This window comes from Homo sapiens, chromosome 16 (genome assembly GCF_000001405.40).
Source record: "Homo sapiens chromosome 16, GRCh38.p14 Primary Assembly".
NCBI lineage: Eukaryota > Metazoa > Chordata > Mammalia > Primates > Hominidae > Homo > Homo sapiens.
Window position 1 is genome coordinate 4,577,093 of NC_000016.10, and position 22,525 is coordinate 4,599,617.

A 22,525-nucleotide genomic window follows, 5' to 3' on the forward strand; every position below is an offset into this window, starting at 1 on the left:
TGGCAGGAGAATCGCTTGAACCCAGGAGGCAGAGGTTGCGGTGAGCCAAGATCATGCCATTGCGCTCCAGCCTGGGCAACAAGAACGAAACTCTGTCTCAAAAACAACAACAACAAAAAAAACTCCTTTGTGATAGCCCATAAAACAGTATTGTATTGGCTAAGCATGGTGACTCATGCCTGTAATCTTAGCACTTTGGGAGGCCAAGGCAGGAAGACTGCTTGAACTGGAAGTTCGAGACCACCCTGGGTAACATCAAGACCTCATCTCTAAAAAAATTTTTAAACACTAGCTGTGTGCGGTGGCTCACGCCTATAATCCTAGCACTTTGGGAGGCCAAGGCAGGCAGATACGGAGACCATCCTGGCTGACACGGTGAAACCCCGTCTCTACTAAAAATACAAAAAAATTAGCTGGGCATGGTGGCGGGCGCCTGTAGTCCCAGCTACTCAGGAGGCTGAGGCAGGAGAATGGCGTGAACCCAGGAGGCGAAGCTTGCAGTGAGCCGAGATCGTGCCACTGCATTCCAGCCTGGGCGACAGAGCTAGACTCCGTCTCAAAAAAAAAAAATTTTAAACATTGGCCGTGTGCGGTGGCTCACGCCTGTAATCCCAGTCCCTTGGGAGGATGAGGCAGGTGGATCACTTGAAGTCAGGAGTTCGAGACCAGCCTGGCCAACATAGCGAAACTCCGTCTCGACTAAAAATACAAAAGTTAGCCAGGCTTGATAGTGCGCGCCTGTAATCCCAGCTACCTCGGAGGCTGAGACAGGAGAAACACTTTGAACCCGGGAGGCAGAGGTTGCAGTGAGCAGAGATTGTGCCACTCCCGCCTGGGCGATAGCGAGACTCCTCCTCAAAACAAAAAAAAAAGCCTGAGTGGTGGCGCAGGCCTGTAGTCCCAACTACTCAGGAGGCTGAGGTGGGAAGATTGCTTGAGCCTAGCAGTTCAAGACTGCACTGGGTTATGATCGTGCCACTGCACTCCAGCCTGGGCAACAGAGTGAGACCTTGTCTCCATACAAACAAAATTTAAAAAAAAATTTTTTTAATTATTGTTATTATTTTTTGAGATGGAGTTTCACTTTTGTCGCCGGTTGGAGTGCAATGGCGTGATCACAGCTCACTGCAGCCTCCGCCTCCTGGGTTCGAGAGATTCTCCTGCCTCAGCCTTCCAAGTAGCTGGGACTAGAGGCATGTGCCACCAAGCCTGGCTGATTTTCGTATTTTTAGTAGAGATGGGGTTTTTCCATTTTGGCCAGGCTGGTCTCAAACTCCTGATCCCAGGTGATCCACCTGCCTCGGCCTCCCACAGTGTTGGGAGTACAGGCGTGAGCCACTGCACCTGATAAAAAAAATTTTTTTTAATTAATTTAAAAACTAATAGGCCGGGTGCGGTAGCTCATGCCTGTACTCCCAGCACTTTGGGAGGCTGAGGAAGGCGGATCACGAGGTCAAGAGATCGAGACCAACCTGGCCAACATGGTGAAACCCTGTCTCTACTAAAAATACAAAAATTAGCTGGGCGTGGTGGCGTGTGCCTGTAATCCCAGGTACTCGGGAGGCTGAGGCAGGAGAATTGCTTAAACCCAGGAGGCGGAAGTTGTAGTGAGCCGAGATCGCGCCACTGCACTCCAGCCTGGTGACAGAGCGAGATTCCATCTCAAAAAATAAATTAATTAAAAAATAATGAAGAAATAAATAAAAAGGTACCACAAGCTGCGAGGCCCAGTGCATTTCCACTGGGCAGTGCTGCCTGAGATGCTCCATAAGAGAAGCAGCTAGAGCCCAACAGAAACATCTTCCTCCATCCGAGCCCTCAGCAGCCACCCTGTCCTCTGCTTTCAGCCAATATGGGAGGTCCTTCCAGCCTCGGGACAACAGTGGACATATTGCAGAAAAAGATTGGCAGCCTCCAGAAATCTAGGCTCAAGGTTAGTGTCTCCGGCGAAGGGCTTTTGAGGCAGTGATGGCTTGAGGTGAGCTGGCTGAAGACTCCTTGACTCTGCCCCCCTCCCAGGTGCAGCTGTGTTCTGCAGCAAAACAGGCTGGGGGAAAGCGAGCTGGCTGCGAAGGCAGCTGCTGCCTCTCAAAGCTGATTCACTGGTGCGGTGGGGGGGCCCAGCAGGTGTGGGGCTACACGGTTCTGTGTCTCAGGTGGCTGTTCAGAGGGCAGGTGAAGCCGGTGCGGTGGCTCATACCTGTAATCCCAACGCTTTACAAGGCTGAGGCAGGCAGATCACTTGAGCTCAGGAGTTCAAGACCAGCCTGGGCAACATAGTGAGATCCCTTCTCTGCAAAAAAATACAAAAATTATCCAGGTGTGGTGGTTTGTCCCTACAGTCCCAACTACTCGGGAGGCTGAGGTGGGAGGATCACTTGAGCCTGGGAGGTGGAGGCTGCAATGAGCCAAGATCACGCCGCTGCACTCTAGCCTGGGTGACAGAGCAAGGCCCTGTCTCAAAAAAAAAAAAAAAAAAAAAAAAAAATGGCAGGTGGAAGGCACCCTGGTCTGATACCTTATTTTTTTTTTTTTTTGAGACGGAATCTTGCTCTGTCATCCAGGCTGGAGTGCAGTGGCGTGACCTCAGCTCGCTGCAACCTCTGCCTCCTGGGTTCAAGCAATTCTCCTGCCTCAGCCTCCCTAGTAGCTGGGATTACAGGGGCCCGCCACCACACCTGGCTAATTTTTGTATTTTTTGTAGAGACTGGTTTCGCCGTGTTGGGCAGGCTGGTCTCGAGCTCCTGACCTCAGTTGATCTACCCATCTTGGCCTCCCAAAGTGCTGGGATTACAGGCATGAGCCACCACGCCCAGCCTGGTCTGGTACATTCTTCTTGGCCTCAACCCTCCCTCAGGCCCCTTCCCGGCCATGGTAACTTCAGAAGCAGAGGCCTGGGGTGTCTGTGTCTCCCCCTTTTAGGAGGAAGAACTTGAGAGAATTTGGGGCAACCAAATAGAGATGATGAAGGATCGCTACATCACTTTGGACAAGGCGGTGGAGAACCTGCAGATTCGCATGGATGAGTTCAAGGTTAGGAGGACTGGGTAGGCTGGAGAAGGGCTGGCAAAGGGAGAATTCCTCACCTAGACCTTCTGGCCCTTCCCGAAGGTTCTGCATGAGGTGGGGATGCACTTGAGGCTGGGAACCAGTGGGGCTTTACTGGCATTTTACTGTGTGTAAATTACACTTCAATGAAAAGCAAACGAATCCCACCACCCCCCCCCACCCATATAAACAGAAGGGCCGGGACAATGTTCGTCTTTTTGACCACTGCGTCACCTGCCCCTGGAAGGGCAGGGGTAGTGAAGGCTCCATCACATTTGCTGAATGACTCAGTGAATGATTAAGAGAACTTCTTGTGCCAACTGTTACATTCTTAACATTTCCCTGAGCCAAGAGGTAGAAATATTTACTGACATTTTGGGCTGGGTGATAAAAATAAAAAAATAATAATAAAAAGAAATATTTAGGCTGGGTGCGGTGGCTCACATATGTAATCCCAGCGCTTTGGGAATCTGAGGTGGGAGGATCACTTAAGACAAAGAGTTTGAGACAAGCCAGGGTAACACAGGGAGACCCCATCTCTACACAAATAAAAAATTTAGCTGGGACTGGGCGCGGTGGTTCACGCCTATAATCCCAGCACTTTGGGAGGCCGAGGTGTGGTGGATCACTTGAGGTCAGGAGTTTGAGACCAGCCTGGCCAACATGGTGAAACCCCGTCTCTTCTAGAAAAATACAAAATTAGGCTGGGTGCAGAGGCTCACGCCTGTAATCCCAGCACTTTAGGAGGCTGAGGTGGGCGGATCATCTGAGATCGGGAGTTCGAGACCAGCCTGACCAACATGGAGAAACCCTGTCTCTACTAAAAATACAAAATTAGCTGGGCGTGGTGGCGCATGCCTGTAATCCCAGCTACTCAGGAGGCTGAGGCAGGAGAATCCCTTGAACCGGGGAGGCAGTGGTTGCGGTGAGCCCCGATCGTGCCATTGCACTCCAGCTTGGGTAACAAGAGCAAAACTCTGTCTAAAAATATATATGTATACATATATATATATATATATATATATATATATATATATATATATAATTAGCCAGGCGTAGTGGCACACACCTGTAATCCCAGCTACCTGGGAGGATGAGGCAGGAGAATCGCTTGAACCCGGGAGGTGGAGGTTGCACTGAGCTGAGATTGCGCCATTGCATTCCAGCCTGGGCAACAAGAGCGAAACTCTGTCTCAAAAAAAAATAAAAAGGGCCAGGCGCGGTGGCTCACGCCTGTAATCCCAGCACTTTGGGAGGCTGAGGCGAGTGGATCACGAGTTCAGGAGATTGAGACCATCCTAGCTAACGTGGTGAAACCCCATCTCTACTAAAAATACAAAAAATTAGCCGGGCGTGGTGGCTGGCGCCTGTAGTCCCAGCTACTCAGGAGGCTGAGGCAGGAGAATGGCATGAACCTGGGAGGCAGAGCTTGCAGTAAGCCGAGATCCCACCACTGCACTCCAGCCTGGGCGACAGAGCAAGACTCCGTCTCAAAAAACAAAAACAAAAACAAAAAAACCTAGCTGGATGTGGTGGCTCATACCTGTGATCCTAGTACTTTGGGTGCAGAGGCTTAAACCTGTAATGAGGGAGGATTGCTTGAGGCCAGGAGTTCAAGACTTGGCCAACAGAAGAAAACTGTCTCTACAAAAAAAAAATTATAAAATTAGCCAAGCGTGGTAGCACATGCCTGTAGTCCCAGCTACCTGGGAGGCTGAGGTGGGAGGATTGCTTCAGCATGGGAGGTTGAGGCTGCAGTGAGCTGTGACTGCATCACTGACTCCAGCCTGGGTGACACAGAAAGACCATCTCAAAAAAAGAAAGCAAAGAAACAAGCAAAAAGCAAAAAACTCACTAACGGCCAGGCGCGGTGGTTCACACCTGTAATCCCAGCACTTTGGGAGGCTGAGGCAGGCGGATCACCTGAGGTCAGGAGTTCGAGACCAGCCTGGCCAACATAGTGAAACCCCGTCTCTACTAAAAATACAAAAATTAGCCGGGCATGGTGGCGGATGCCTGTAATCCCAGCTACTCGGGTGGCTGAGGCAGGAGAATCACTTAAACCCGGGAGGCGGAGGTTGCAGTGAGCGAAGATTGCGCCATTGCACTCCAGCCTGGGCGACAAGAGCAAGACTCAGTCTCAAAAAATAAATAAATAAATAAATAAATAAATAAATAAATAAATAATAACCCACCAAGGTTGTTTCCGTGAAGGCTTCCAAGTCGGGGGGCTGTTGCTGGGATGCACTGGGGTGTGTTGGGGGAAAAGGGACCAAGGAAACCCATGGCGTATGGCTGACCCCAAGGCTGGCACACTGTAATCAGGCTGGGACCCATTTGAGGCAACTTTGAATGGAAAATAACTCATTAAAGGGGAACCAATTCACAGCCTATGAAGTGGGGGTGGACAGGAGGGTTGGCTGTCTCTGGAGATGCTGGGCCGAGTGTGGGTGGACTGCATGCAGGGGTACGTGCTCAGACTGTGCACCACTGGCCAGGAACCAGGTCTCCTGCCAACACTCCTCTTCAGAGAGACCCAGGCCACCATGTCCTGGGGTCATCTTGGTGCCCTTTCTCCATGGAGCTGGAGCCAGTTCCATTCAGCATGTCCATCGTGCACCCAGCACTACGCCAGACCCTGCATGGGGGTGAGCAGGGGCTGCAGTGTCTGCCTGCGTGTCCGTAGTTGTCACTTATTAGAAAGACTCTGAAGCTGATGAAGCCCTGCCACGTGTGCCAAAACAGAGCACATCCCTTGTCCCAGGACCGTTGTCCCAGCTTCCTGGCTCTTGTGCTATGAAGATTTCATTGCTGGCCAGGCTCGGTGGCTCACGCCTGTAATCCCAGCACTTTGGGAGGCTGAGGCAGGCGGATCACCTGAGGTCAGGAGTTCAAGACCAACCTGACCAACATGATGAAAGCCGATCGCTACTAAAAACACAAAAAAATCAGCTGGGCGTGGTTGCGGGTGCCTGTAATCCCAGCTACTCGGGAGGCTGAGGCAGGAGAATCGCTTGAACCCGGGAGGCAGAGGTTGCAGTGAGCCGAGATTGTGTCATTGCACTCCAGCCTGGGCAACAAGAGCAAAACTCCATCTTGGGAAAAATCTCAGCACTTTGGGAGGCCAAGGCAGGAGGATCCCTTGAGGCCAGGACTTCAGGACGAGCCTGGACAATACGGCAAGGCCCCATCGCTAAAAAAATAAAAATAAAAATATTAGCCAGATGTGGCAGCGTACGCCTATAGTCCCAGCTACCAGGGAGGCTGAGGCAGGAGAATCACTTGAACCCAGGAGGTGGAGGTTGCAGTGAGCTGAGGTCATGCCACTGCACTCCAGCCTGGGTGACAGAGTGAGACTCTGTCTCAAAAACTAAAGTAAACTAAAATACAGTCTTAGGATTTTGAACCACACAAATGGTTTGTATTACCAATAGTTAAAGAAGAAAAATAAAAAATAATGTAGAACAAGTGTGGGAATAGGCAAATCAATAGGCCAAGAAGACTGGGCATGGTGGCTCACACTTGTAATTCCAGCACTTTGGGAGGCCGACATGGGCGGATCACTTGAGGTCAGGAGTTTGAAACCAGTCTGGCCAACATGGTGAAACCGTGTCTCTACTAAAAATACAAAAAAATTAGCCAGGCGTGGTGGCGCATGCCTGTAATCCTAGTTACTTGGGAGGCTGAGGCAGGAGAATTGCTTCAGCTCAGGAGGCGGAGGCTGCAGTGAGCCAAGATCGCACCACTGCACTCCAGCCTGGGCGAGAGAGCAAGACTGTATCTCAAAAAAAAAAAAAAAAAAAAAAAATAGGCCAAGAAGACCAGATCTAAGATTTACAAGAATTTAGCATATGACCACTACAGGAAGGATGGATTACTCCACAACCAGTGTTAGGAAAACCATTTCAAGGAATAACAGTAAGTCTTAAGTCCGATAGCAATCCTCTAGATGACACAAGGCAGTAGCACGGTGACAAATGCAGGATGGGAGCAAGATCTCATGACTGTGTCTCTGTCTTGCTCTCCACCATGTGACTTACATGTAAGACTTAGGTTTCCCAGTGTCGTTTTGGGTCTTGCTCTGTCCCCCAGGCTGGAGTGTAGTGGCCTAATCATGGCTCAGTGCAGCCTTGAACTCCCAGGCTCAAGTGATCCTCCCACCTCGGCCTCCTGAGTAGCTGGGACTACAGGCGTGTGCCACCATGCCTGGCTAATTTTTTTTTTTGAGATACAGTCTCGCTCTGTCGCCCAGCCTGGAGTGCAGTGGCGCAATCTTGGCTCATTGTAACCTCCGCCTCCCGGGTTCAAGCAATTCTTCTGCCTCAGCCTCCTGAGCAGTTGGGACTACAGGCGTGTGCCACCATGCCTAGTTAATTTTTGTGGTTTTTTTGGTTTGTTTTTTGTTTTTGTTCGAGGCAGAATTTCACTCTGTTGCCCAGGCTGGAGTGCAATGGCGCAATCTTGGCTTACTGCAACATCTGCCTCCCGGGTTCAAGTGATTCTCCTTCCTCAGCCTCCCGAGTAGCTGGGGTAACAGGCGTTTGCCACCACACTCGGCTAATTTTTTATTTTGAGTAGAGACAGGGTTTCACCACATTGGCCAGGCTGGTCTTGAACTCCTGACCTCAGGTGATTTGCCTGCCTCGGCCTCCCAAAGTGCTGGGATTACAGGCGTGAGCCACCGTGCCCAGCCAATTTTTTTGTATTTTTAGTAGAGATGGGGTTTCACCATGTTGGCTAGGCTGGTCTCGAACTCCTGACCCCAAGTGATCCACCCACCTCAGCCTCCCAAAGTGCTGGGATTACAGGCATTAGCCACTGCGCCCAGCCAAAATAATAAGATTATAAAACATGAATATAGCCTGGCATGGTGGCTTGCACCTATAGTCCCAGCTACTGGGGAAGCAGAGGTGGGAGGATCACTGGAGTCTGGGAGGTGGAGGTTGCAGTGAGCTGAGCTCGCACCACTGCATTCCAGCCTGGGTGACAGACTGAGACCCTGTCTCAAAAAATAAAAATAAAAAGCATAAATAAGGCCAGGTTTGATGGCTCTTGTAATCCCAGCACTTTGGGAGGCTGATGGGGGAGGATCCTTTGAGCCTAGGAGTTCCAGATCAGCCTGAGGCAACATAGTGAGACCCCTGTCTCTACAAAAAAAAAAAAAAAAAAAAATCCAGGTAGGTGGTGTCACCTGCAGTCCCAGCTCCTCTGGAAGCTGAGGCAGGAGGCTTGCTTGAGCCTGGAAGGCTGAGACTGCAGTGAGCTGTGATCAAGCCACTTTACTCCAGCCTGAGTGACAGAGCAAGAGCCTGCCTCAAAAAATTAAAATAAAAAAATTAAAATTAAAATAAAGAGGAGGTAACAGAGACTCAGCAAAGAAACGAGCCCAAGCCTGCTGGGCTGGGAGGGGGCCTGGAGTGGCTGTGGTTCAGAGCCCAGGCTTTGGAACAGACGTGCCTAGGTTTGAATCCTGATTCTGCCACCTGCTGGTTGGATCAGTTCCCTGCGGTTGCTGCGGCAAATCACTCTTGGGGTTCTGGAGGCGGGAATTCTGAAATCAAGGTGTCATAGGCTGTGTTCCACCTGAAAGCTCAGAGGGGCCTCCTCGCCTCTCCCAGCTTCTGGTGGTTCAAGGTGTCCCTTGGCTTTGGAGCAACTTGGATGGAGGCCGGGGTCATTATTCTAAGTGAAGCAACTCAGGAGTGGAAAGCAAAGACTGCATGTTCTCACTTGTAAATGAGCTAAGCCATAGGTGTGAAAAGACAGACCGAGCAGGATAATGGACACAGGAGACTCAGGATAATAGAGAGAGGGAAGGATAGAAAACTACATATTGGAGCCAGGCGCGGTGGCTCACACCTGTAATCCCAGCACTTTGGGAGGCTGAGGCAGGCGAATCATTTGAGGTCAGGAGTTCGAGACCATCGTAACCAACATGGTGAAACCCCATATCTACTAAAAATACAAAACTTAGCCAGGCGTGGTGTTGGGTGTCAGTGACCCCAACTACTCGGGAGGCTGAGGTGGGAGAATCTCTTGAACCCGGGAGGCGGAGGTTGCAGTGAGCCGAAATGGCGCCACTGCACTCCAGCCTGGGCGACAGAGCAGATTCTGTAAAAAACAAAACAAAACAAAACATGTTAAAGATACCCATTCACTTCTGTTGACACCCCAGTGGCCACACTAAGCTATAAGAGAGGCTGTGAAATGGAGTCTTGATTCTGGGCAGCTGGGTTCCAGCTAAAAGTCCAGAGTTCTGTTCGTAAGCGTGAGCGGGACACCCGACAGGAAGAGAGAAGTAGAAGCCTGTTTGCAGCTTTGCAGGAACTATGGCCCGACCCTCTGGGGAAATGGAGGCTCTTCCCAAGCTGACCAGCTGCTGCTCCTATTACAATGGGGATGTAGTAATTGGAGAGAGGGTGGAATTCATGGGGGCAGTTGGTTCTTTGTGGAGTTGTGGGGATAGGACGTGAGGTTTTTCCCTAACGCTTGAGCACAGTGTGTGTGGCTGTGATAAGTGCTCAGTTCATAGTAGACTGGAGTTCCTGCTGGGACCCCAGGACAGATCAGAAGTAGTAAACATGCCTTAAACATCCAGGGAGCGAAATCGTCCACATTGGTTTGTGCTTTCCTTCCTTGGGTCTAACTCCCCGTGGAGGAAAGTTCCTATGATACCATCTCTGAGGGGACAGCTTGTCCCAAGTCGCACGTTCCTTCCCTTTTCATCTGGGCACCTGGAGCCCTTGAGCCTGAGTCTTGTAACGCCCATGCCCACCTGCCTGCTGTCCACACGGCCTGCTATCCCTCCCCAGCATATGGTAATGGTAGAGGTGGGAGGTTGACATTTTATCCTCAAGGCTCTCCAGGATGGCAGACATGCCTGTGCTTCTGTTCTTAGACTCTCCAGGCTCAAATCAAAAGACTGGAAATGAACAAGGTGAATAAGAGCACGATGGAGGAGGAGCTGAGAGAGGTGAGTGAGCAGAGGTTCCTCTGCCTTCCCTGCTCCCCTACCCAGGGAAACGGCACCATCCAGGCAAAGCCCACCAAAGAGTCTTCCAGAATTTCCCTCCCCCTTTGTTCATATTGAAACCAGGAGTTGGCTGGGCGCAGTGGCTCATGCCTGTAATCCCAGCACTTTGGGAGGCCAAGGCGGGTGGATCACCTGAGGTCAGGAATTCGAGACCAGCCTGCCTGGCCTACATGATGAAACTCCGTCTCTAGTCAAAATACAAAAAGTAGCCAGGCGTGGTGGCAGGTAACTGTAATCTCAGCTATTTGAGAGGCTGAGGCAGGAGAATCACTTGAACCTGGGAGGCAGAGGTTGCAGTGAACCAAGATCATGCCATTGCACTCCAGCCTGGGCAACAAGAGCAAAAACTCTGTCTCAAAAAAAAAAAAAAAAAAAGAAAGAAAGAAAAAGAAAGAAAAGAAAGGAAAACAGGAGGCACATCAACTCCCATTTTCAGCAATTGAGGATTATTAACACTCTACTTGAAAATCACACATCAGCTGTGCACAGGGTGGCTCATACCTGTAATCCCAGCACTTTGGGAGGCCGAGAAGATAGGATCACTTGAGGCCAAGAGTTTGAGAACAGCCTGGGAAACATAGGAAGATCACATCTCTACAAAAAAATAAAAAAATGAACTGGGCATGATGGAACATGCCTGTAGTCCCAGCCACTCAGGAGGCTGAGGTGGAAGGATCCCTTGAGCCCAAGAGGTGGAGGCTGCAGTGAGCTATGATTGTGCCACTGCAATCCAGCCTGGGCAACCTTGAACAAGATCCTGTCTCAAAAAAACACATAATAATAAAATACATCAACTTCCCTGTTATAGGAAAACCTTGGCTTTGATCTCGAGATCGTGTTTGAATCCACGTAGACCCCAGGGTTGCATTTAAGCCAAGGCTAAAAGTCCAGAGTCCCAAACTAGAAGCATCAGACCCAAGGGGTGTGATGTCTCCCAGCTTTGCCTTCCTCCATCCCAGCAGCCATGCCTCCCTGAACTCCCTGTCTCCCTAGAAAGCTGACAGGAGTGCCCTGGCAGGCAAGGCAAGCCGCGTTGACCTGGAGACTGTGGCCTTGGAGCTGAACGAGATGATTCAGGGCATACTCTTCAAGGTCACGATCCATGAGGACAGCTGGAAGAAGGCTATGGAGGAGCTCAGCAAGGACGTGAACACCAAGGTGAATGCCCCCATGTTGATTTTCACTTTATTCCTAACAAATTAACCCAGAACTTAGCAACTGCAAACAACAAACGTTTTCAGTTTAGGAGGAGCAAGAATTTGGGAGTGACCCAGCAACTTAGCTGGGTGGCTCAGGGTTTCCTGTGAAATTGCAGTCAAGATGTCATCCAGGGCTGGTCTCATCTGAAGGCTCGAATGAGGCTGGATGAGCCAATTCAAAGAGATTCCCTCACATGGCTGTTGGTAACACTCTTCAGTTCCTCATCCCATGGACTCTGCCTTTGGGCCACTTGAGAGTCCTCATGACATTGCAGCTGACATCTCCCAGATCAAATGATCCAAGAGGGGAAGGAAGAAGCAGCAATGTCTTTTTTTTTTTTTTTTTTTTTTTTCATACAGGGCCTCACTCTGGGCACCTGCCCCATACATAGTCAATAAATGAATTGATCCCCATTTCACAGAGGAGAACACTGAGCCTCAGAGAGGTTATTATACTTCCCTCAGGAAACGCTGCTGCTCATGGTGGAGCTTGAGACTCAAACCCAGAGCTGCCTGATTCTAAACCTAATTTAACCTCTTTGGGCCAGTCCAGCCACCTCAGTTGCAAGAACCATGTAGCACTGTTGTTGGACCAACTGTTCCAGTCTACTATGAGGAAGGGGCTGTGACTCCTCTAGACACTTCCCCGGGGTCTGACACATCACTGGCAGTCAGTAAACGATGAATGAATAAATGAATGACTGTCACAGTCCCTCAGAGACTCTCCTCCTCCACCCCACATCCCTGCACTTACGCAGCCAGGAGAGTGGCATAGTTAGCCTCCAGGGCGGTCGCCAACCATACCTCTTGGTATTCACACAGTTGTTTAGCCCCCTCCCACATTGAATGGGACCAGCTTGTGTAACCTACAGGATATTAGAGAGATGATGGAGGGTGACCACCTTCCATCATAAAAGACATTGCAGCCAGTTGTGGTGGCTCACGCCTGTTATCCCAGTACTTTGGGAGGCCAAAGCAGGCAGATCACTTGAGCCCAGGAGTTCAAGACCAGCCTGGGCAACATGGTGAAACTCTGTCCCCCTACCAAAAAAAAAAAAAAGCCAGGTGTGGTGGCACATACCTGCATTTCCAACTACTCAGGAGGCTGAGGTGAGAGAATACCTGAGCCTGGGAGGTTGAGACTGCAGTGAACCAAAATCGTGCCACTGCACTCCAGCCTGGGCAGCAGGAGCACCCTGGCAGGCACTCAGAGTGAAACCCTATCTCACAAAAAAAAAAAAAAATGGGCGCAGAACAACCAAAAGCAACACATGAAGAGATTTTACTTGTTTCCTGGTTTAATTGAACCACATCTACAAATGGGCTGGAGATGACATCCAATTCAGGAATAGTTGCTAATTGTATTAAACATGATAATAGTGTTGTGGTTATATAATAAAATGTTATCACACTCAAATATTTATTAGTGAAATGTCACCATTTCTGTAACTTAAAAAAAATACTCCATCGGCTAGGCACGGTGGCTCACGCCTGTAATCCCAGCACTTCGGGAGGCTGAGGCGGGCAGATCACGAGGTCAGAAGATTGAGACCATCCTGACCAACACGGTGAAACCCCATCTCTACTAAAAAATACAACAAAAATTAGCCAGGCCTGGTGGCGGGCGCCTGTAGTCCCAGCTACTTGGGAGGCTGAGGCAGGAGAATGGCCTGAACCCGGGAGGCAGAGCTTGTAGTAAGCCGAGATAGCGCCACTGCACTCCAGCCTGGGCGACAGAGCAAGACTCCGTCTCAAAAAAATACTCCCTCGGGTGGCACAGTGGCTCACACCTATAATCCCAGCACTTTGGGAGGTTGAGATGGGAGGATCACTTGAGCCCAGGGGTTTGAGACCAATCCTGGCAACATAGAGAGACTCCATCTCTACTTTAAAAAACTATTTTTGGCCAGGCGCGGTGGCTCACACCTGTAATCCCAGCACTTTGAGAGGCAGAGATGGGTGGATCACTTGAGATGAGGAGTTCGAGACCAGCCTGACCAACATGGTGAAACACTGTCTCTACTAAAAATACAAAACTAGCCGGATGTGGTAGTGGGGGCCTGTAATCCCAGCTACTCGGGAGACTGAGGCAAGGAGAATCGCTTGAACCCGGGAGGTGGAGGTTGCAGTGAGCCAAGATCGCACCATTGCACTCCAGCCTGGGCAACAGAAGTGAAACTCTGTCTCAAAAATAAATAAATAAATAAATAAAATAAAAGTAAATAAATAAGGCCAGGTGCGGTGGCTCACACCTGTAATCCCAGCACTTTGGGAGGCTGAGGCGGGCAGATCATGAAGTCAGGAGTTTGAGACCAGCCTGGCCAATATGGTGAAACCCCGTCTGTACTAAAAATACAAAGATTAGGCTGGGCGTGGTGGCTCACGTCTGTAATCCCAGCACTTTGGGAGGCTGAGGTGGGCGGATCACCTGAGGTCAGGAGTTTGAGACCAGCCTGGCTAACATGGTGAAACCCCATGTCTACTAAAAGTAAAAAAAAAAAAAAAAAAAATTAGTCGGGTTTGGGGGCACACGCCTGTAATCCCAGCTACTTGGGAGGCTGAGGCAGGAGAATTGCTTGAACCTGGGAGGCGGAGGTTGCAGTGAGCTGAGATCACACCACTGTACTCCAGCCAGGGCAACAAGAGCGAAACTCCCTCTCAAAAAAAAGCCAGGTGTGGTAACACGCACCTGTAGTCCCAGCTACTTGGGAGGCTGAGGCAGAAGAATTGCTTGAACCCGGGAGGCGGAGGTTGCAGTGAGCAGAGATTGCACCACTGCGCTCCAGCCTGGGCAACAGAGCGAGACTCTGTCTCAAAAATAAATAAATAAAATTAAAAATAAATAAATAAATACGATTGATTATGATGGTCACACAACTCTGTAAATATACTAAACGCCATAAACCTGCCCACTTTACATACAGACCGTCAATAAACATGTGTTGAGTGTGTGAATGTCAGGTGCAGTGGGACCATTGCCAGAAAGGTGTCTCAGACCGCCCAGCCTGCAGCTGAGCTTGGTTTGATTTGGTCTTTTGCAGACAGTAGCTGATGGTGTTTTTTGCTTCTGCTGCTAGGAAGCTCACCTTGCAGCTCCCCTCTACCAATAGCATCTAGTAGGGGTTGAGCCTCATCGAAGCTGTGTCATTTTCCCTTTCCTGGACTCCCTCACTATTTTAGTTGAATTTTGTTACACCGTGTAACTTCCCAGGTTGCTGCAACCCTCTTCTGGAAGGAGGCAGGGTGTGAATTCATAGAGTATTCTTTCTTATCTTCCCCTTGGCTGTTGGCAGTTAGTCCACAGTGATCTGGATCCCTTGAAGAAAGAAATGGAAGAGGTCTGGAAAATCGTCCGGAAGCTGCTGATTGAGGGCTTAAGACTGGATCCTGACAGTGCTGCTGGCTTTAGGAGGTGAGTGCCCGCCCGAGCCCCTCCTGGTAGGGGTCCTGCTGCCCAGGCTGTGGGGAACACACCCTGGAAGCTCTGGGAGGAAAGATTCCAGACCTTTGGATGAGGGGATGGGGGCTTGGCTGTGGCTGAAAGCACTGAGGAGGAGGGAAGCTCTGGCCTGAGCTGGCAGAGGTGATCCAGCCCTATTCCTGCCAATGGGGAAACCAAGGCTCAGAGAGGGAAGGGGACTGGGCAGATCCAGGACCCCTGACCCCCACCCAGACAGTGCCCCAGGCAGAGGGACCCAATATTTATGGGGCTCCTGTCCTCAGACCACCCCTCACACAGCTTTAAAAACCATCCGTTGTGTTTGGGGCGGCAGAGAAACCACAAGAGTGGTTGGAGACTGCAGGGCCTGTGGGGCTGAGCTGGGCCGGGCACTGGCAGGAGGGATGCAGCCCTGGGGCTCTGGCTGGCTGCAGCCTCCCACACATGGCCTGGGCCCAGCAGGGGCAGCGGCTGATGATCATGTGCCTTTCAGGAAGCTGTTCAAGCGCGTGAAGTGCATCTCCTGTGACCGGCCTGTGGAGATGATGACTGGCCCGTGAGTACCACCGCCCAGGGTGCCCCGGCCCTAAGGGCTTGTGGGGCCCATGGAGGTCATCTCCGTGCACCTCCATGTGCACCGTTCCATGCACGCTGTGTGTCTACACATCCATATACAGCATTCTCTCCAGCCATCAAGTCCATACACGCCCACATGCACCATTCTCTATGCACCAGGTATCTACACATCCACATCCACTGTTCTGTACCGTCAAGTCCATACACATCCATGTACACTGTTCTGTATGTGCCATGTGTATCCACATTCATATACAGGGTTCCCCAGCCTTCAAGATACACATGTCCACATACACTGTTCTACAGCCATCAAAAATATACAAATATGCGGCCTTGTATGATAGCGCCTGCCTATAGTCCCAGCTACTCAGGAGGCTGAGATGGGAGGATGGCTTGAGCCCAGGAGTTCGAGGCTGTAGTGAGCTAGGATTGTGCCACTGCTCTCCAGCCTGGGTGACAGTGAGACCTCATATCAAAAAAAAAGGCCATGTTGGCAAGGCTGGTCTCAAACTCCTGACCTCAGGTGATCCGCCCACCTCAGCCTCCCAAAGTGCTGGGATCATAGGTGTATGCCACCGCGCCTAGCCTGGTTTTTACTTTTGGAAATAGAACAATTGTTTTTTGTGTCTTACTGTGATGATCAGAGGTCCTGAGATGCCTTTCGGGGGGGCCCCTTCTACTTCTATGCTGTGGACGCTTCTGGCATTCGAGGGTGGTGACCTGAGTCTGCACCTCCTTCCTCCTGCTGGGAAGGCTTCCTGGAGGGGTGGGAGACGAGCCCTCTGCTGGCCTAGCACGCCTCCCACAGCCCCTGCTGTGCCCTTGTCCTCCAACAGACAGCTGATCACCATCCGCAAAGCCCACCTGCTGTCCCGGCTGCGGCCAGCCAGCGCCAACAGCTGCGAGTACTTGCAGCGGCAACAGATGAGGTGAGCAGGATGGGCGCCCCGCAGGGAGGCCGCCCCGCATGGAGGCCACTCTGGAGCCTGGGAACCCTGTTCCTGCAGAGACACATCCTCCAGGCCCAGGGACCTAAGATTGTCCTGGACATGGCCAGCCCTTCGCAAGACAGGCACTCCGAGAGGTGGCTGGGGCGGCAGACAGGCCCACGAGATGATGGCGGAGGGAGGAACTGACATATTTACTGCACATCTATTGTGGGCCAGGAACTGTTAGACGGTTTCTTATTTAAATCTCACAACCCCCTGTGAGCTAGGGTTCCTATGCCCATGTCCCTGTTTCTTGGCGGAGGGAATCGGTGATGATGGGGAACCCTCAGGGAGCCGCTGCTGTGCCCGGCAGGCACTGTGCCAAGCGCTGGGGCTCACCTGGCCTTGTTGAGTCCTCACAGCTGCCCTCTAAGATGTATCCTGGTACCATCCCATGTCACAGTTGAAGAAACTGAGGCTCAGAGAACTGCAGTGACCTGCCCAAGGTCACTGCTAGCAAGTCCAGGGCTGATGTCCAAACCCTCAGGTTTCCACCGCACCCAGCTGGCTCCCTGGGTGCCAGCCCCACCCCTCAACCTCCTGACATCCCACAGCTCTATGGATCTCCCCAGCCTCCAACCCTGCTGTGGGGACGTCTGGCCAGGTGGGGGAAGAACCGGTGAATCGTCACCACAGCCGTGGGAAGGGGAGGGACGTGGGGGCCTGTGCTGACTCTGCCACCCTCCCTCCCTGGCTCCTTGAGATCAAGAGATTAGAAGGACACGCTCTTCAGGCCAGGGGTCCAAAGGGAAATGGCTGGGTCTGGGGAAATGCAGGTCTCAATTTGATTCCTCTGCCCCACTGTGTGTGTCTGTATCCATCCGCCAGGCCCCAGGCCTGCCTGGCTGTGCCAGCTAAACACAAGCTGAAAGAAATGCTGGTCTTCCCTCGATGCTGGCCAGGCCCTTGGGGCCCGTCCTGGGCTCTGGGGTACAGGGTCTCCAGGTCGCTGCTGACCCACTGCCCTGCTGCAGGGAACAGCAGTGGCTGCAGCTCCAGGACCTCGGTATCCAGGAGGATTGTCAGCAGGACTGGGGTGATGGCCCCCAAAACGCCACCAGCCTCAAGTGCAAGTCCTGCAACCTGTTGACGCTCTATCCCTACGGGGATCCCCACGTGATCGACTATGACAGCGTGAGTCTGGCCGGGGCCTCCTTCTCAGAGGGTGGACGTCAGCGCACCCCAGCCCCAGGTGTGGGACCAGGCACTGAGCAGTGGGCAACCCCAGCAGAGGCTGCACTCTGTCTCCTGGGCTTCTGCGTGTACCAAAGTTCGGGGGCAGATCGGGTCGGGGGCTCCCTAACCCGGGACCTGGGCCATCCAACAGGCCGAGGTGGACATCCTGGGCGTGGATGGGATCCTGTACAAAGGCCGCGTGAACAGCCAGCGTGGGGCTCAGCCCTTGGCCGTCGCAAAGGAGCTGGCAGGTGAGGGGCGTAGGGCTCCCTGGGGCACCCTTGCCTGGGGCCCTGGTTCTGCTGGGCAGGGTGAGAGGGTGCAGGTGGGGCCCAGAGCCAGCACTATCCCTGACCGGGGAGTCCTCACACAGTCAGTCACAAAAATTGGGTCACAGCAGGCCCCCAGGAGACTCAGTCTTTGCAATGGGGGAGGGAGACCGCGGGAGCGAGGATCTGCTGTTCCCGAGATCAACAGCTGACCAGAGAGAGGGCCGTGGCCACAGGACCATGGCCTGTGACGAAGGACGATGAGCTAGGAAAGGTGCTGGGCTGGTGCCAAGGGACGCCAGTCCACGGAGGACGGACTGGACAGCTGCCCTGAAGCCCTTGAAGAGGGACTAGGACTTAGCTGGATGAAGGGGTCGGGTGAGAGGAGAGTGGTCGTGTGGCAGGAACGGTGGGTGCAAAGGCCCTGTGGTGGGTGGAAGCCACTCACAGGCAGGAGCTCAGGACGCCGAGTCTCCCTGAAGGGTGGAGACTGGGGTGGGGCAGTGGGGTGACAAGGAGGAGACTTGGGCCAGACCCCAGAAGCTGTGTGTTAATATCACAGGCAAGGGTTGGGCCAGCGGGAGACCCAGAATTGTGCACATCTGGAATCAGTCAATGTGGTTGCTGCAGTGCTGAGGCCCGGCTCTGGCCGGCTCCTGCTGGGACCCCAAGACTCTGGAGTCCATCACTGGGTTCGAAGGACAAAAAGAGGAGCCTTCTCTGCACACCCCTTGAAGGCTCTTCCCCCTTGGGGATGGGGAGTTCTAAATTTTGCCCCTGGGTGGGAGCTACACGCCGCCCCATAAGGAGCAGTCCCGGAGCCACAAGATGGCCGGGGCCTGAACTCCACCTGCAGAAATTCTGGTTTTTTGTTGTTGTTGTTGTTGTTGTTTGTTTGTTTTTGAGGCGGAGTCTTGCTCTGTCGCCCAGGCTGGAGTGCAGTGGTGCGATCTCGGTTCACTGCAACCTCCAACTCCCGGGTTCAAGCGATTCTCCTGCCTCAGCCTCCCGAGTAGCTGGGATAACAGGCACGCACCACCACGCCCGGCTAAATTTTTGTATTTTTTAGTAGAGACGGGGTTTCACCATGTTTGGCCTCAAGTGATCCACCTGCCTCAGCCTCCCAAAGTGCAAGGATTACAGGCATGAGCCTCTGCGCCTGGCCCACCGGCAGAAATTCTTTCTTGCCAACGCTGTGCCTCCATTGACTCGAAGACCAGACATGGAAGAAGGGAAGGGGGACTGTTTCATCAATGTGCTGGGCAAAGGAGGAGGCACCCTGATTCGTCTCCTGGGGTTGCCGAGACAAATTACCACAAGCAGGGTGGCTTAAAGCAGCTGAAGTTCCTTCATTCCCCGGCCCATGTAGCACGCCGTCCCATTGGCCGGGCACGGTGGCTCACGCCTGTAATCCCAGCACTTTGGGAGACCGAGGCGGGCGGATCACAAGGTCAGGAGTTCAAGACTAGCCTGAACAACATGGTGAAACCTCGTCTGTACTGAAAATACAAAAATTAGCCAGCCATGGTGACACACGCCGTTAATCCCAGCTACTCAGGAGGCTGGGGCGGGAGAATCACTTGAACCCAGGAGGCAGAGGTTGCAGTGAAACAAGATCACGCCACTGCACTCTAGCCTGGACAACAGAGCGAGACTTCGTCTCAAAAAAAAAAAAAAAAAACAGCTGAAGTTCCAGCTGGGCAACAACAAATTAGCTGGGCATGGTGGCGTGCGCCTGTAGTCCCAGCTTCTCAGGAGGCTGAGGCAGGAGGATCGCTTGAGCCCGGGAATTTGAGGCTGTAGTGAGCCATGATCTCACCACTGCACTCCAGCCTGGGCGACAGAGCCAGGCCCTGTCTCAAAAACAAACAAACAAACAAACAAAAACAGAACAGAACAAAACCAAACAACAACAACAACAAAAACAAAATACAGCCAGAGTTGATCCTCCCGCTGTCCTGGAGGCTGGAAATCCTAAATCAAGGAGTCAGCAGGGCTGCACTCCCTCCAAAGGCTTGAGGAGGGTCCCTCCCTGTCTCTTCAGCTTCTGGGGCCGATGGCACTCCCTGGCACTTCTCTGTCCCCATGTGAGCTTCTCTTCTGTGTGTCCTCTCCTCTGTCCCCCATAAGGACATTTGTCTTTGGATTTGTGCCCGACCTAACCCAGGATGATCTCATCTCAAGATCCTTAAGCTAATTATACCTGCAAAGACCCTTTCTCCAAATAAGGTCACATTCACAGCTTCTAGGAGATGTATCTTTTTGGGGAGCACATTCAACACACCCTGTTTCCAGGCGGGCCAGACACCGTCTCAAACCCTGCATTCTCCTGGGCGGGATGTGGCTTCTCCTCGAGAGGACTGGCCGTTCCAGCCCCTGCCCCCTGCCTGGTATCTGCTGGGAGGGCTCAGGCTGGGCGTCAGGGATCACCAGGCAGGATCACAACGGTGGCTAATATTTAATGAACCCCGACTTCGTGCCAGGCCCTGCCCCACCTCCTTCACCCTCCAACAACCTGCCAAGGAGTTTCACAAATGACCAGCTGAGTGAGGGCTGCTTGCCGGGCGGCCAGGGCAGATGGAGTCCACATCTGATGCACCCAGTCCTGTCCCCACTCATTCACTGGCCTCCCCAAGGGCTGTCATCTAGAGGGAGGGGCTTTCCCCCTTGGCTCATTCATTCCCAAGACCCACACAGCAAGCCAGGACTTGAATCATGATGGCGTCAACTGCTTCATCTTTTTTTTTTTTTTGAGACGGAGTTTCGCTCTTGTTGCCAAGGCTGGAGTGCAGTGGGGCGATCTCAGCTCACTGCCATCTCAACCTCCTGGGCTCAAGAAATCCTCCCTCTTCAGCCTTCCAAGTGACTGGAACTACAGGCGTGCGCCACCACGCCTGGATAATTTTTGTATTTTTAGTACAGATGGGGTTTTGCCATGTTGGCCAGGCTGGTCTCAAACATCTGGCCTCAAGTGACCCACCTGTCTCAGCCTCCCAAAGTGCTGGGATTACAGGTGTGAGCCACTGCGCCCGGCCTCATGTAACTTATTGACTACTATATATTACATTGAAATTGTGACGGATTTATAGCATCTTAAAGCTGAAAAGTGGTAAGTCAAACCATCATAAATCAGGGACCTTCTGTATTAGAAATCAATTGGAAACCTGTCTGTGGCCAGATCTTGATCAGTTTGCTGTTGTCACTCATTTATTTCCCCAAAAGAACTTTCTAACTCAAAACAGACTCAAAGCCAGGTATAGTGGCTTACACCTGTAATCCCAGCACTTTGGGAAGCTGAAGCCTGAGGATCACTTGAGCCCAGAAGTTCGAGACCAACCTGGGCAACATCGTGAAACCCCGCCTTTATAAAAAATACAAAAATTAGCAGGGCATAGTGAGGCTCCCTGCAGTCCCAGCTACTTGGGGGGCTGAGGCGGGAGGATCACTTGAGCCCAGGAGGTTCCAGCTGCAGTGAGCCATGATTGCGCCACTGCACTGCAGCCTGGGCAAAAGAATGAGACTTGGTCTCAAACAAAAAAGAAAGAAAAAAGAAAAGAAATGTCCAGAATAGAAAAATCTATAGACAGAAGGAAAATTGGTGATTTCCAGGGGCTGGGGTTTGGGGCGGGGAAAGGGAGAGTGACTGCTTAATGGGGACAGGGCCCCTTTTGGGGTAATGGGAAAGTTTCAGAACAAGATAGTGGTGGTGGTGTGCAACGCTGTGTGCGTCCTAAATGCCTCTGAATTGTGCACTTTAAACTGGTTAATTTTACGTTATGTGGATTTTACTTCGAATAATGAAAAAAAAACAAAGGTGAAGGACAGGAAGATGGGGGCATTTAGGTGCTCTGGCCCCCAGCGGGACAGCTAAACCATAAATAGCCCTGCCAGCATTTCACCTGTGTCTTACTGTGCTGAAATCACGTCACACTCCTCTCTGGCCTAGAGTTACTTTCAAAGAGCCTTCTTTTCTTTCTTAGCCTTGAGACACTCTCCACTCAAGAAGGCAAGGAAGGCTGGGCGTAATGGTTCACGCCTGTAATTTCACCACTTTGGGAGGTCAAGGTGGGAGGATAGCTTGAGCCCAGGAGTTCAAGACTAGCCTGAGCAACATAGCGAGACCTCCTCCCTAGGAAACATTTAAACAATTAACCGGGAGTAGTGGGGCACACCTGTAGTCCCAGCTACTCGGGAGGCTGAGTTAGGAGGATTGCTTGAGCCCAGGAGTTCAAGGCTGCGTGCGCTCCAGCCTAGGTGACAGAGCGGAGACCCTGCCTCAAGAAAAAAAAAAAAAAAGAAGCCAAGGAGGGAAGAACATTGATTATCCCATAAAGGAATGGACCGGGGAGCCTGGGAAATGGGGTTGGTCCCACCAGAGGGAGACTGCCCAGTGCTGGGATCGGCCTGACACAGGCCCAGGGGTGGATGCCACCCACACCTGTCTCTTTTCTTTTCTGCTAAGCTGTGAAGGCTCCATCTCCCCCGTCACAAAGCCTGTATGACCGTGTGCACTCCAGTGCCCTATTTGGCGCCATCTGCCCCCGTGAGTACCTGGTTCCCAGCCCCAGCCCAGCTGTGATTCTGGAAGGGTCTCCAGTCCCTCCTCGTCTCATCCCATCCCCCACACCCCGCCTGGGCTCTCCTGTCCACCTCCTCCACCTCCTGCCTGCTTTGCCTGCCTATGGCACTTCAGAGATGATTCCTGGCCCCGGTGCCATCCCCGGTGCCCAGGCCAAGCATCTGTCCCCAGCGTCCACCCAGCTGCAGGGGCGGCAACAAGGGAACTGAGGTTGGAA

The 22,525-nt window shown here is 52.1% G+C and overlaps 1 protein-coding gene across 5 annotated transcripts in view, besides 3 other annotated features; it reads left to right on the top strand.

Moving 5' to 3' along the window:
- C16orf96 (chromosome 16 open reading frame 96) overlaps positions 1–22,525 on the top strand; it is a 62,158-nt gene that overhangs the window by 38,492 nt on the left and 1,141 nt on the right. For 4 of the 5 annotated variants that reach the window (NM_001387219.1, XM_047434053.1, NM_001145011.2 and 1 more), the window contains 10 exons: positions 1,848–1,933; positions 2,923–3,033; positions 9,947–10,021; positions 11,075–11,239; positions 14,574–14,692; positions 15,213–15,275; positions 16,132–16,224; positions 17,259–17,418; positions 17,612–17,711; positions 22,192–22,272. In NM_001387219.1, coding sequence (NP_001374148.1) covers positions 1,848–1,933; positions 2,923–3,033; positions 9,947–10,021; positions 11,075–11,239; positions 14,574–14,692; positions 15,213–15,275; positions 16,132–16,224; positions 17,259–17,418; positions 17,612–17,711; positions 22,192–22,272 — 1,053 coding nt within the window. The remainder of the gene's footprint in view (positions 1–1,847; positions 1,934–2,922; positions 3,034–9,946; positions 10,022–11,074; positions 11,240–14,573; positions 14,693–15,212; positions 15,276–16,131; positions 16,225–17,258; positions 17,419–17,611; positions 17,712–22,191; positions 22,273–22,525) is intronic. The other variant, XM_005255301.4, reaches the window with a different exon arrangement.
- Positions 8,059–8,559: an enhancer, noted in NCBI's record as "H3K4me1 hESC enhancer chr16:4635152-4635652 (GRCh37/hg19 assembly coordinates)". NCBI's record gives its function as "activates a minimal SCP1, AML or CMV promoter by ChIP-STARR-seq in primed H9 embryonic stem cells {active_cell/tissue: H9 hESC(primed)}" and the evidence as "EXISTENCE:reporter gene assay evidence [ECO:0000049][PMID:30033119]".
- Positions 15,377–16,177: an enhancer, noted in NCBI's record as "H3K27ac-H3K4me1 hESC enhancer chr16:4642470-4643270 (GRCh37/hg19 assembly coordinates)". NCBI's record gives its function as "activates a minimal SCP1, AML or CMV promoter by ChIP-STARR-seq in naive H9 embryonic stem cells {active_cell/tissue: H9 hESC(naive)}" and the evidence as "EXISTENCE:reporter gene assay evidence [ECO:0000049][PMID:30033119]".
- Positions 16,980–17,779: an enhancer, noted in NCBI's record as "H3K27ac-H3K4me1 hESC enhancer chr16:4644073-4644872 (GRCh37/hg19 assembly coordinates)". NCBI's record gives its function as "activates a minimal SCP1, AML or CMV promoter by ChIP-STARR-seq in naive H9 embryonic stem cells {active_cell/tissue: H9 hESC(naive)}" and the evidence as "EXISTENCE:reporter gene assay evidence [ECO:0000049][PMID:30033119]".